This window comes from Homo sapiens, chromosome 7 (genome assembly GCF_000001405.40).
Source record: "Homo sapiens chromosome 7, GRCh38.p14 Primary Assembly".
NCBI lineage: Eukaryota > Metazoa > Chordata > Mammalia > Primates > Hominidae > Homo > Homo sapiens.
Genome location: NC_000007.14, coordinates 117,342,702 through 117,357,751, shown reverse-complemented (window position 1 = coordinate 117,357,751; position 15,050 = coordinate 117,342,702). Strand labels below are relative to the sequence as shown.

At 37.0% G+C, this 15,050-nt stretch overlaps 1 annotated feature.

Moving 5' to 3' along the window:
* Positions 9,164–9,343: an enhancer, noted in NCBI's record as "active region_26546". NCBI's record gives its function as "activates an Ori minimal core promoter by ATAC-STARR-seq in GM12878 lymphoblastoid cells {active_cell/tissue: GM12878}" and the evidence as "EXISTENCE:reporter gene assay evidence [ECO:0000049][PMID:35858748]".

Sequence of the window (15,050 nt, the reverse complement as noted above, 5' to 3'; positions counted from 1 at the left end):
AAATTTATTTTTAAATACTTTCCTTCAATAATAAATTAACCTTAGCTTACTGTAACATTTTTACTTTATAAACTTCTTAATTTTTAAAAACAGGTTCTTTTGTAAAACATTTAACTTAAAACACAAAACGTATTGTACAATTGTACAAAAGTATTTTCTTTATATCCTTATTCTATGAGCTTGTCTCTATTTTTAAAAGTATTCATTCGTTTTTTTAATTTTTAAACTTCTTTGTTAAAACCTAAGACACAAACATACACACATTAGTCTAGGCCTACACAAAGTCAGGACCATCAATATCACTGTCTTCTACCTCCACATTTTGTCCCACTGGAAGGTCTTCAAGGGTAATTACATGCATACAGCTGTCATCTGTAATAATAGTGCCTTCTGAAATAATTCCTGAAGGATCTGCCTGAGCTATTCTACAGTTATTTTTTAATAAGTAAAAGGAATACACTTAAATAATGATTTAAAAGTTTAGTAAATACATAAACCATTAACATAGTTTATTATTATCAAGTATTATGTCCTGTATATAATGTATGTGCTAGACTTTTATGTGACTGGCAGCATAGTAGGTTTGTTTACACCATCACCACCACAAACACGTGAGTAATGCATTGCACTAGAGTGTTACAATGGCCATGATTCCACTAGGCAATAAGAATTTTTCAGTTCCATTATAATGTTATGGGACCACCATCAGATATTCCTGCATCATTGACTGAAACATCACATTTCATAGTGCAGTGTGCCATGTGACTACACTATAAAACTGTACACTTGGCTGGGTCGTGGCTCACGCCTGTAATCCCAGCACTTTGGGATGCCAAGGCAGACGGATCACTTGAGGTCAGGAGTTTGAGACCAACCTGGGCAGCATGGTGAAACCATCTCTACTAAAAATACAAAAATTAGCCAGGCATGGTGGTGCGCACCTGTAATCCTAGCTACTCAGGAGGCTGAGGCAGGAGAATCGCTTGAATTTAGGAGGCAGAGGTTGCAGTGAGCTGAGATTGCACCACGGCACTCCAGCCCGGGCAACAGAGTGAGACCCTGTCTTAAAAAAAAAAAAATGTACACTTGATCTTGTATTTGTTCACATTTAATGTTTTGTTTTAAAAGCTTTCTTGAGATAATTCATTCATTGAAAGCATACAATTCAATGGATTCTGGTCTATTACAGTTTTCTATCCATAACCAAAATCAATTTTAAAACATTTTCAGTACCCCAAAAAGAAACCCCTTACTCCCTGTCCATCATCCCCAATCCCACCCAGCCCTAGGAAACCACTAATCTACTTTCTGTTTATGGATTTTTCATTTCCGGCCATTTCATATAAATGGAATCATACAATATGTGGTCCTTTGTGACTGACTTTTTTCACTGAGTATAATGTTTTCAAACTTCATCACTGTTTTAGTATGTATCAGTACTTCATTAATTTTTATGCTGAGTATTTCATTGTATGCATATATTACATTTATCCATTCATCAATTGATGAACATTTGGGTTGTTTTCCATTCTGGGCTGTGAGCATGTTTTCATTTCTCTTAGATATATACCTAGGAGTAGAATTGCGAGCTCATATGATGACTCTATAAGACCATTTGAGAAACTGCAGACCTTTTCCAAAGTAGCTGCACCATTTTACATTTTTTACCTACTGTGTGTGAGGGTTCTAATTTTTCCACATCCTTGCCATTTATCTGTCTTTCTTATTATTTCCATCCTAGTGGATGTGAAGTGTTCTCTCACTGTGGTTTTGATTTGCATTTTTCTGGTGGCTAATGAGCATTTTTTCCTGTGCATATTGGCCACTTGTATATCTTTTTTGGAGAAATGTTGATTCAAGTCCTATGCCCATTTTTTAGTTGCGTTGTCTTATTTAGTTATAAGTGTTCTTTATTCTGGATACTAGACCCTGATAAGATATATGATTTGCAAATATTTTCTCCCATTCTGTAGGCTTTCCTTTCACTTTCTTAATAATGTCTTTTGATGAGAAATTATTTTCATTGGATGATATCTCATTTGTTTTCTCCTGTTGTTTGAGCTTTTCATGTCATATGTTAGAATCCACTGCCAGATCTAAGACCTTGAAGATTTATATGTGTTGTCTTCTAGGATTTTTATAGTTTTAGCTCTTATATTTAGATCACTGATCCATTTAGAGTTAATTTTTAAATATGGTATGAAGAAGAGGTTCAACTTCATTCTTTGGCATGTGGATATTCAGCTGTCCCAGCATCATTTGTTGCAGAGACTGTACTTTTCCCCATTGAATTGTCTTGGCACCCTTCACTGAAGATTAGTTGACATTACATAAATGTGGGATTTTGATAGAGAGTGCTTTGAATTTGTAGATCAATTTGGGGAGCACTGCCATCTTAATATTAAATCATCTGATCCATGAACATGGATGTCTGTCCATTTATTTAGATCTTTAATTTCTTTCAGCAATGTTTTATAGTTTCCAGAGTATAAATTTTGCTCTTCTTATGTCAAATGTATTCCTAAGCATGTTTTTCTTATGCTATTGTTTTCTTAACTTCATTTTCAGTTTGCTCATTGCTACTATATAGAAATACAATTGATTATTGTATATTTGTCTTGATTCCTGCAGCCCTGTTGAACTTATTATTTCTAATAGTTTTTTGGCAGACTTATTAGGATTTTCTGTATGCAAAATCACATTCTCTGCAAATAGACATAATTTTACTTCTTCTTTTACAATCTTCATGCCTTTCATTACATTTTCTTGCCTAATTGCCCCGGCTAGACCCTGCAGTACAATGTTAAATAGAAGTAACAAAAGCAAACATCCTTGTCTTATACCTGATCTTAGGGGGAAAGGATTCAGTCTTTCACCATCAAGTATTATGCTAGCTGTGGGTTTTTCATAAATGCTTTTTATAAGGTTGAGGAAGTCCCCTTCTGCTGCTAATTTGTTGAGTGCTTTTATCATGAATGCATGTTGAATTTTGCCAAATGTTTTTACATCTATTCCCATAATCATGCAGTTTTGTCCTTTAGTCTGTTGATTTGGTGTTACCAGTCTTGCGTTCTTGGGAGAAATCCCTCTTGGCCATGGTGTTTAATTCTTTCTAAATATTGCTGGATTTGATTTTCTGGTATTTTGTTGAGGATTTTTCCATCTATATTCGCAAGTAATACTAATCTGTAGTTTTCTTACAATGTCTTTATCTGGTTTTATCAGGATAATAACTAATAGAATGAGTTAAAAAAAAGTTCCCTCTTGTTTTTTGGAAGAGTTCATGAAGAAATTGGTATTCATTCTTCTTTAAACATTTGATAGTATTTACCAATAAGGCCATCTAGGCCTGCGTTTTTCTGTGTGGGAAGTTTTTTGTTACTAATTCAATTTCTTATGTCTATTTCAGCATTTCATTTCTTCTTGAGTCAATTTCAGAAGTTTGTGTCTTTCTGGGAGTTTTTCTGTTTCATCTACATTATCTAATTTGTTGGCATAAGGTTCATAGTATTCCCTTGTAATTTTTTCTGTAAGGTTGATAGTAACATCTTTCATTTCTGATTTTAATACTTTGAGTCTTTTCGTTTGTTTAGGTCAGTCTAGCTAACAGTTTTTCTATTTTGTTGATCTTTTTAAAGAACAACCTTTGGCTATGGAGACTTCCTTTATTCTTATTATTCATTTATTTAATTACTGCTTTAATCCTTATTATATATTCTTTTTTCCATTGTCTCAAGATAAAAAGTTAAGTTGTTGACTTGAGACATTTGATCTTTTTCAACATTTGTGTTTAACACTATAAATCTCCTTGTAAGCACTGCTTTAGAAGCATCCTGTAAGTATTTGTATATTATGTGTTCATTTCCATTCATCTTATTTTCTAATTTTTCCAGTGATTTCTTCCTTGACCCATTGGTTCTTTTTCTTTTCTTTTTTTTCTTTTTTTTGGAGATGGAGTCTCGCTCTGTCACTAGGCTGGAGTGCAGTGGCATGATCTCAGCTCACTGCAACCTCCGACTCCCAGGTTCAAGCGATTCTCCTGCCTCAGCCTCCCAAGTAGCTGGGATTACAGGCATGCGCCACCATGCCCAGCTAATTTTTGTATTTTTAGTAGAGACGAGGTTTCACCATGTTGGCCAGGATGGTCTCCATCTCCTGACCTTCTGATCCACCCGCCTCGGCCTCCCAAAGTGCTGGGATTACAGGTGTGAGCCACCACACCTGGTTCTTTTAAGAGTATGTTAACTTCCACATATTTGTTAATTTCCCAAACTTCCTTATAGCTATTAATTTCGAGTTTTACTTTATTGTGATCAGAAAACATGTTTTGTATGATTGCCATCCTTTTAAATTTATTGAAACTTGTTTTATGGCCTAGCACACATATGGTCTATCTTGTAGAATAGTCCATGTGTGCTTGAGAAGAATGTGTGTTCTGCTATTGTTGGATGACATATTCTGTAAATGTCTGTTAGGTCCAGTTTGTATATAGTTGTATATAGTGTTGTTCAAGTCTTCTGTTTCCAGATAGAAGTTGATCTTCTGCCTAGTTGTTCTGTTCATTATTGAAAGTGGGGTATTGAGGTTTTCAACTATTATTGTTCAGTTAACTATTCCTTCCTTCATTTCTGTCATCATTTGTCTCACGTTATTTTGGGACTCTGTTGTTATTTTTATATATAATTGCTATGTTTTCTGGATGGATTGACCCTTTTGTCATTATAAAAAGATCCTCTTTATTAGTAGTAACTTTTTTTTGTCTTAAAGTCTATTTTGTCTGATAGTATAGACACTATTGATTTCTTATGGTTGCTATTTGCATCATGGTGTATCTTTTATCATCCTTTTACTTTCGACCTGTTTGTATCTTTGAATCTCTGGTGTGTCTTCTATAAAGAACATATTAGTAGATATTGAGGGTTTTTTTAATCCAGTCTGACAATCTGCTTGTTAATTGAATTTTTTAATCTACTCACATTTAATGTTATTTTGGCATAGTTGGATTCACACGCCATTATACTTTTTGTTTTCTATATGTTTCATATCTTTTCTGTTTCTTTATTTCTTTTTTACAGCTTTCTTTTACATTAAGTGAATATTTTCCAATGTAACATTTTAGTTCCTTTAGTGATTTTTTAGAACTATATTTTAAGTTATTTTCTTGGTAGTTGCTTTAGGACTTACCATATACATCTTATAACAATCTACTTTAGATTTATACTAACTTAATTTGAGTGAGATATAGAAATGTTACTCTTGTATATCTCTATCCTGTCCTTCATCTTCTTGAACTATTATAATGTCTTGAACTATTATAATTCGGTCAATTATATAAGTTACTGACCCAATATTATAGTATTGTAATTATTACTTTACGTAATTTCACGTTACTAAAGAAGTTGAGAACAGAAATATGAGCAAATTTATATTTAGAGTTTGTTATATTTACACTCATATTTGCCATTTCTGGTTCTCTTCTTTTGTTCCTGTGGGTTCAAGTTACCATCTATTGTTATTTTCTTACTCTAATACAACCCTGCTCCCTCTGACTTCTGCTGTTCTCTTATTTTCCAGATATAATACATTTCTATCCATCATAGGCTCAACAATGCAATTGTATACACATTGATATATACAATAGCTTTTCAAACCATTAAGAGACGAAAGAAATAAGCAGTTATACTATCTTTTATAATTACATAGATACCTTTACCATTTTGTATTTTTTGTGTGGATTTGTTACAGTAGTTAGATAGACATTAGCGAGACAAGAGAAGGCTCTTCTCCCTGACCCACTAGAAAAGTCAGGCGATGGTTTGACAATTATCACACTACCTCTCTGAAAACGATAATTCTAATTTGGCAGCTGGCACCAGGGCTCCAGGGAGAGACAATCTCCTGATGATCTACAGCTGTTAACATTAAAGTGTTAACTGAATGCAGACACCAGGGAGAAGCAACTTCCTGGGCATGCATATTAAAAGACAAAATGGTGAAGTATGACCTTTGGGGGCACTACACCAGAAACGGGAGGAAGGCCTCAGATGGGCATGCATATAATTTCCTGAACACACTGCACATGCTCACTTCCCAGAGGTAAGGGGTTGGGGGGCACTGCACATGTGGGCAGCCTACCCTAAGGGCAGAATCACAGGGAAAGGGTGCAAGATGGCAGCCTATAAAGTCCTAGGATCATGGTTAGGCCAAGGCACCCACTTGGATCTCTCCCAAGTGTTCTTTCATTTCTTTCCTGTTCTAAAGCCTTTTTAATAAAATTCCACTCCTGCTCTGAAACTTGCCTCAGTCCCTTTTTCTGCTTTATGCTCCTCAATCAAATTCTTTCTTCCGTGGAGGCAAGACTTGAAGTTACTGTGAACACATAAGGATATGCTGCTGGTAACTCAGATACCTGCCACAAGTAACAGATTTAGAGAACTATCTGGGTTTACTTTCTCTTAAAAACTTTCTTTAATATTTCTGATAAGGTAGGTCTGCTAAAAATGAATTCTTCCAGTTTTTGTTTATCTGGAAATGACTTTATTTTGTTTTTGTTGTTGAAATAAAGTTTTGCTAGATAGAGGATTCTTGATTGACAGGTCTTTAGAGTTTTCTTTTCAGCATTTTAAATATGCCATCCCACTGCTTTTTAGCCCCCATATGGACCTGTGCATGTTATCCTAGTTGGAGTTCACAGAGCTTTTTGGATGTGTAGATTAATGTTTTTCATCAAATGTGGGAAGTTTGCAGCCATTTTTTTTTTAATGTTTTTTCTCTTTCTTTTTCTTTCTCCTCACCTTCTGGTCATTCCATTATACCAATGTTGGTATACCCAAAAGTGTCCCAGGTTTCTCTGAGACTCTTTATTTCTCGTCATTCTATTTTTACTCTCCTTTTCAGATTATATTATCTTTTCATTTATCTTCAAGTTCACTGATTCTTTTTTCTGCTAGTTCAAACTGACTGTTGAGCCATTGTAATGAATTTTTACATTTCATTTATCGTACTTTTTTCAATTTCAGAATTCCCTTTTGGGTTTTTTTTATGATTTCTTTTTATTGATATTCTCTATGATAAGACATTTTGTTCATACCTTTCTTTACTTCCTTAACCATGGTTTCTTTTAGTTCTTTGAACATATTTATAATGGCTTCATTGAAGTCTTTGTCTGTTAAATATGACATTTAGCCCCTCTCACAGTTAGTTTCTGTTGCCTACTCTTTTTCTTATGTGTGGATCAGTCTTTCCTATTTCTTTGCATGTCTCATAATTTTTGTTGAGAACTGGATATTTTAGGTTATATATTCTAGCAATTCTAGATACCGATTCTTCTTTCCCTCCCCATAAGGAATTGTTTGCTTGTTTCTTTGTTTAGTGATTTGGCTGCACTATATTAGTGAAGTCTACTTACCCCAAATTGTGAAGTCTTTGATGTTTCTTCTCAGAGAGAGCAGTCTTGGGCATATATAGTGACCCTGGGGTGACAGTGGTTTTTAGCAGGGCTCTGTTAAACTGCCTGTTTCTCTAATCTTCCTTCTAGGCTGTGTGGCTCATTGTGTGTTTACACCCCGCCCTTAGGCTCCACTAATTACTGGACAATTGCTCTATTGTTTTTGACATAGCTTAGGGAATAAATTACTCTGTATTCTGATAGAATTAAAACTGGACAGAAGTAGTTTTTAAGGCCAGCCTCTGAGGTGTATTCTGACCCCAAGAGGACCCTTCTTAGCTGTCTCTTTCCCTGGGGTTCTCTAAGGTAAACTACTGGCCTAGAATTTAACTTGTTCCTAATTAAGAGGAGTTATTGTTTTCCAGAGTATCCTTAGGCTTGAATTTCCACACATTCTGTTTTAAATAAAGTCAGTTCCTTTGGGGAGAGCTTTTGAGCCACTTTTTTCTTAGGGACTGCTTCTTATCATAGGCAGAATCTCTGAGCCACTATTCTAGGTGCTGGGTGGAGCAGTAGCCTCTGGTCTTCTTGGTTTGCTTCTCACAGCATGGAATCTCTGCCTTTCAGCAAGCGGGGTGAAGGAATTCAGGGTCTTAGTATTCTCAGCCTTCCTTGTCTGGGAGAAGAGTTCTCATCCTATGGTGCTCAGTGAAAGGAGAGATCCCTCAACCTCTCAGCCATACTCACCAGAATTTAGTCACTTCACATTTGAGTCGAAGGGGATAAGAAATGCTGGTAGGCTGCTGCTTCAGATGAGATATGGTAACACTTGTTCGGGAGCTGAGGAGGAGAGGGAGCTCATCTTCTGGGCCATATCCATCCAGAGTGGAACTTCTGCTAAGCTGTTTTGGCTTGGGGCTGGGGATATGGTGACAGTGGATCATGGCTTCAAGTGCTACAGTCTCATTGTTTATGCTGAGTTTTAGTAGATTTTCTTGAATAAATGTTTCTGCATTTGCTCTGTATCCTTGGGACATTTTCTAAAGACTTTAAATGGTTGCATTTTTATAGTTTTCTCCAGCTTTGCTTGTTTCTCTGGGGAGTGCATTTATGACATTCATCATACTACCATCCTGGCAGTAAAATTCTTTAATCAGTATTTCTGGGGTATCTGCTTTGTGCTTAGTATAGAGCTTACCCCAGAATACTGTGCAGGATTCTTTTTTAAAAGCCAGAAACACTAGCTAGGTATCTTTTCTATAAGCTTTAAGTTAACGTTATAGGATGCTGAAAATTTAGGTTAGTACTATAGGATGCTGAAAATTTTAAGAGCACCTAAAGTCTATTTGAAGCAAAAGGAAAAGACCACCTAGGTTTGACAAGATTACATTAGGGCTAGATAAATGATACATAAAGCAAGGCTACACTGTTAATTTTGAAGGCCTTCCTGTGGAAGGTATTTCCAGTAATACCTAATTTATATGAATTATTTTTATTAAATATGGGAAACAAGATTTAAATGTCTAAAAGGGTATCAGTCCAAAAATGAATCCAGGGGATAGCAGGGAAAAATGGCAGCTAGGAGGCAGGGCTAAATTGCAACTTCCTCTCGGATGGACATAGCAGCATGTGGAGACACACATCATGAACTTTTGCTCCAAGAACTACCATAGGAACATACCAAGAAAGCCAAGAGAATCCACAGACCCTCTTAAGGAAGCAGCTTGCTGCTGTAGGCTCTATGAAATGTCAAAAAAAACTGTGAGTGCTCGAAGTGTGAGAAGGGGATGTCTGCCCCAGAACACACCTCCTTACTGGGGAGCTTGAAGGTCCAGATCACAGGAGAAGGATTTGACCTTACCTGGAGCTGAGACTAATTTAGGGAACCGAGCGAAATGTAGGGGTAGAGGAAGGAGCAGGAAGAGCCATGTGGGCACTCTCGGTTCCCAGGGAAGCCATTCCTGACTTTGTCTCAGAGGGGTCCTTGGGGAGGACTCTCAGTGGCATTGGGGAAAGACCACAGGGAGAAGGAAACTTCCAGCTGAACTTTGTAACAATTTTGACAAAACACAAAGTTTCCTGGACAGAATCTGGGGGAGGGGGTGCATGGGGAGTGCAGATATGAGCACAGAAACCGCAGCAGGTGGAGAGGTGTGAAATCTGAAAGTCCCGCTTGCTTTTTCAGCAGGGAGGTTTGTAGCTTGGGGCAAGTTCTCAGCCCTGCTCACTGACTGCCTGGAAATAACCTTGGTGCTGTTGGAGGGGCACAGTGGGAGTGAGAGTTGAGACTGGCCTTTCAGGCTGCATGGGAGCTGGGTAAGGCCTGTCACTACCAGCTTTCCCCCACTTCCCTGGCAACTTATATGATGCAGCAGAGGCAGCCATAATCGCCCTGGGAATGTAACTCCATCAGTCTGAGAAACACACCCCCATCCCCTATAGCAGCCACAGCAAGCCCCACCCAAGGAGTCTGAGCTCAGACACCCCTAACCCTTATGGTCTCCTAATGGTCTTTCTCTACCTGTCCTGCTAGCCGAAGACAAAGGGCATAATCTCTTGGGAGTTCTATGGCTCAGCCCACCACCTGAGAAACACAGATACTTATCCAGGTCACCCTAGGGCAAGCTTATATCCTCTTTATACTATGGCAGCTGATGCTGTCTTGAAAGTACCACCTCCTGGCTGGAGGCCAACCAACACAAAACCAGGGCACTAAATGAAACTACAATCACGGACCCTCACAGAGTCCATTTCACTCCCCTGCTACATCCACCGGAGCAGGTGTTGTATTCACTGCTGAAGACAGATCACGTCACAGGACTCTTTGCAGACATTCCTCGGTACGAGCCTGGAGCCCAGTAGCTCCACTGGGTGGCTAGACCCAGAAGAGAAATAACAATCACTGCAGTTCAGCTCTCAGGTAGCCCCATATCCAGGGGAAGAGGGAGACTGCCACATCAAGGGAACACCCTGTAGGACAAAAGAATCTGAACAATAGCCCTTGAGCCCTGGATCTTCCCTCAGACATTGTCAGAAAAGGAACCAGAAAAACAATTCTTTAGCATCCCCAAAAGATCACACTAGCTCAACAGCAATGGATCCAAAACAAGAATAAATCTCTGAATTGCCAGAAAAACAATTCAGAAGGTCAATTATTAAGCTACTCAAGGAGACACTAGAGAAAAGTGAATACTAACTTAAATCAAAAAAGTAATACAGGATATGGACAGAAAAATCTCCAGAGAAACAGATAACATAAATAAAAAACAATCACAACTTCTGGAAATGCAGGACACACTCAGAGAAATGCAAAACACACTGGAAAATCTCAGCAATAGAATCAAACAAGTAGAAGAAAGAACTTCAGAGCTCAAAGACAAGGATTTTGAATTAACCCAATCTGACAAAGACAAAGAAAAAAAAATGGACAAAGGCCTCCAAGAAGTTGGGATTATGTTAAACAACCAAACCTAAGAATAACTGGTATTCCTGAGGAAGAAGAGAAATCTAATAGTTTGGAAAACATATCTGAAGGAATAATCAAGGAAAATTTCCCTGGCCTTGCAGAGATCTAGACATCTAAATACAAGAAGTGCAAAAACACCCAGGAAATTCATCACAAAAAGATCATCACCTAGGCACATAGTCATCAGGTTATCAAAAGTCAAACGAAGGAAATAATCTTAAGAGCTGTGAGGCAAAAGCATCAGGTAACCTAGAAAGGAAAACCTATCAGATTAACATAGATTTCTCAGCAGAAACCCTACAAGCTAAAGGAATCGGGGTACTATCTTTAGCCTCCTTAAACAAAACAATTATCAGCCAAGAATTTTGCATACAGGGAAATAAAGCTTCATAAATAAAGGAAAGATACAGTTTTTTTTTTCAGATGAACATATGCTGAGAGAATTCACCACTACCAAGCCAGCACTACAAAAACTGCTGAAAGGAGCTCTAAATCATGAAACCAATCCTCATTGTGCACCAAAATAGAACCTCCTTAAAGCATAAATCTCACAGGACCTATAAAACAGTAACACAATGAAAACAAAAACAAGGCACTGAGGCAACAACTAGTATGATGAATAGAATAGTACTTCACTTCTCAAAACTAACATTGAATGTAAATGGCCCAAATGCTCCACTTAAAAGATACAGAATGGTAGAATGCATAAGAATTCACCAACCAAGTATCTGCTGTCTTCAGGAGACTCACCTAACACACAAGGACTCACATAAACTTAAGGTAAAGGGGTGGAAAAAGACATTCTATGCGATTGACACCAAAAACAAGCAGGAGTAGCTATTCTTAGACAAAACAGGCCTTAAAGCAACAATAGTTTAAAAAGACAATGAGGGACATTATATAATGATAAATGGACTAGTCCAACAGGAAAATATCACATCCTAAATATATATGCACCTAACACTGGAGCTCCCAAATTTATAAAACAATTACTACCAGATCTAAGAAATTAGATAGACAGCAATACAATAATAGTGGGAGAATTCAATACTCCACTGACAGCACTAGACAGGTCATCAAGACAGAAAGTCAACACAGAAACAATGGACTTAAGCTATACCCTAGAATCAATGGACTCAACAGATATTTATAGAACATTCTACCCAACAACTGCAGAATATACATTCTATTCATCAGCAAACAAACCCAAATCCAGCAAAAGGAAAGAAATATCCAAGATCAGAGCAGAACTAAATGAAGTTGAAACAGACAAAAAAAAATGCAAAAGATAAATGAAACAAAAAGCTGGTTCTTTGAAAAGATAAATAAAATTGATAGACCATTTGTGAGATCAACCAAGAAAAAAGAGAGAAGATCCAAATAAGCTCAATTAGAAATGAAACAGGAGATATTACAACCGGTATCACAGAAATACAAAAGATCATTCAAGGCTAAACGGAACACCTTCCAGGATAAATTCCTGGAAATATACAACCCTCCTAGATTAAACCAGGAAGAAATAAAAACTCTGAACAGACCAATAACAAGCAGCAAGATTGAAATGGTAATTACAAAAGTGCCAACAAAAAAAAAGTCCAGGACCAGATGGATTCACAGCTGAATTCTATTAGAAATTCAAAGACACTTCTCATCCAATGAGATACCAATCCTACTGACACTATTTGAAAAGATAGAGAAAGAGGGAATCCTCCCTAAATCATTCTACAAAGCCAGTATCAACCTAATACCAAAACCAGGAAAGGACATAACAAAAAAAGAAAACTACAGACCAATATCCCTGATGAAGATAGATGTAAAAATCCTTAACAAAATACTAGCTATGGAATCCAACAGAATATCCAAAAGATAATCCACCATGTTCAAGTGGATTTCATACCAGGGATGCAGGGATGGTTTAACATACACAAGTCAATAAACGTGATATACCACATAAAGAGAATTAAAAAGAAAACCTTAATAGACGCAGAAAAAGCATTTGACAAAATCCAGCATCTATTTATGATTAAAACCTTCAGTAAAATCAACATAGAAGGGACATGCCTTCAGGTAATAAAAGCCATCTATGACTAAACCACAGCCAACATTATACTGAATGGGGAAAAGTTGAAAGCATTCCCCCTGAGAACTGGAACAAGACAAGGATACTCACTTTCACCACTTCTATTCAACCAAGCACTGAAAGTCCTAGCCAGAGCAATCAGACAACAGAAAGAAATAAAGGGCATCCAAATTGGTAAAGAGGAAGTCAGACAGTTACTGTTTGCCAATGATATGATTGCATATCTAGAAAATCCTAAAGGCTCATCAAAAAATCTCCTAGAACTGATAAATGAGTTCAGTAAAGTTTCAGGATACAAAATGAATGTACAGAAATCAGTAGCACTGCTATACACCAGCAGTGACCAAGCTGAGAATCACATCAAGAACTCAACCCTTTTTACTGGAAAAAAAAAAAAATACTTATGAATATACCTAACCAAGGAGGTAAAAAGACCTCTGCAAGGAAAACTACAGAATACTGCTGAAAGAAATCATAGATGACACAAACAAATGGAAACATATTCCATGCTCATGTGAAAATGAGCATACTGCCAAAAGCAACCAAAAATTCAATGCAATTCCCATCAAAATACCACCATCATTCTCACAGAACTAGAAAAAACAATCCAAAAATGCATATGGAACAAAAAAGAGCCCACATAGTTAAAGCAAGACTAAGCAAAAAGAACAAATCTGGAGGCATCACTTAACTTTATACTATAAGGCAATAGTTACCAAAATAGCATGGTACTGGTATAAAAATAGTCACATAGACCAGTGGAACAGAATAGAGAACCCAGAAATAAAGCCAAATACTTACAGCCAACTGATCTTCGACAAAGCAAACAAAACCATAAAGTGTGGAAAGGACACCCTATTCAACAAATGGTGCTGGGATAATTGGCAAGCCACATGTAAAAGAATAAAACTGGATCCTCATCTCTCACCTTATACAAAAATTAACTCAAAATGGATGAAAAACTTAAATCTAATACCTGAAACCATAAAAATTCTGGAAGATAACATCAGAAAAACCCTTCTAGACATTGGCATAGGCAAAGGCTTCATGACCAAGAACCCAAAGGCAAATGCAACAAAAACAAAGATAAATAGATGGGACTTAATTAAATTAAAAAGCTTCTGCACAGCAGAATAAATAATCAGCAGAGTAAACAGACAACCCATAGAGTTAAAGAAAATCTTTGCAAACTATGCATCTGACAAAGGACTAATATCCAGAATCTACAAGGAACTCACAAATTGGCAAGAGAAAAACAAACAATCACATCAAAAAGTGGGCTAAGGATATGAATAGACAATTCTCAAAAGAAGATGTACAAATGACTAACAAACATGAAAAAATGCCCAACATCACTAATGATTAAGGAAATGCAAATCAAAACCACATGCAATACCATCTTACTCCTGCAAGAATGGCCATAATCAAAAAATAAAAAAATAATAGATGCTGACGTGGATGTGGTGAAAAGTGAACACTTTTACACTGCTGGTGGGAATGTAAACTAGTACAACCACTATGGAAAACAGTGTGGAGATTCTTTAAAGAACTAAAAGTAGATCTACCATTTGATCCAGCAAACCCACTACTGGGTGTCTACCCAGAGAAAAAGAAGTCATATGAAAAAGATACTTGCACACGCATGTTTATAGCAGTGTGTAAATCTGCAATTTCAAAATCATGGAACCAGCCCAAATGCCCATCAATCAACAAATGGATAAAGGAAATGTGGTATAGATATACCATGGAATACTACTCAGCCATAAAAAGGAATGAAATAATGGCCTTCACAGCAATCTGGATGGAATTGGAGACCATTGTTCTAAGTGAAGTAACTCAGGAATGGAAAACCAAACATCATATATTCTCACTCATAAGTGGTAGCTAAGCTATGAGGACACAAAGGTGGACTTTGGGGACTCAGGGAAAAGGGTGGGAGGGGGATGAGGAATAAAAGACTATACACTGGGTACAGTGTACACTGCTCAAGTGATGGGTGCACCAAAATCTCAGAAATCACCACTAAAGAACTTACCCATGTAACCAAATACCACCTGTTCCCCAAAAACCTACTGAAATAAAAAATTAAAATTAAGAAAATACTAATGAAGTAGAAT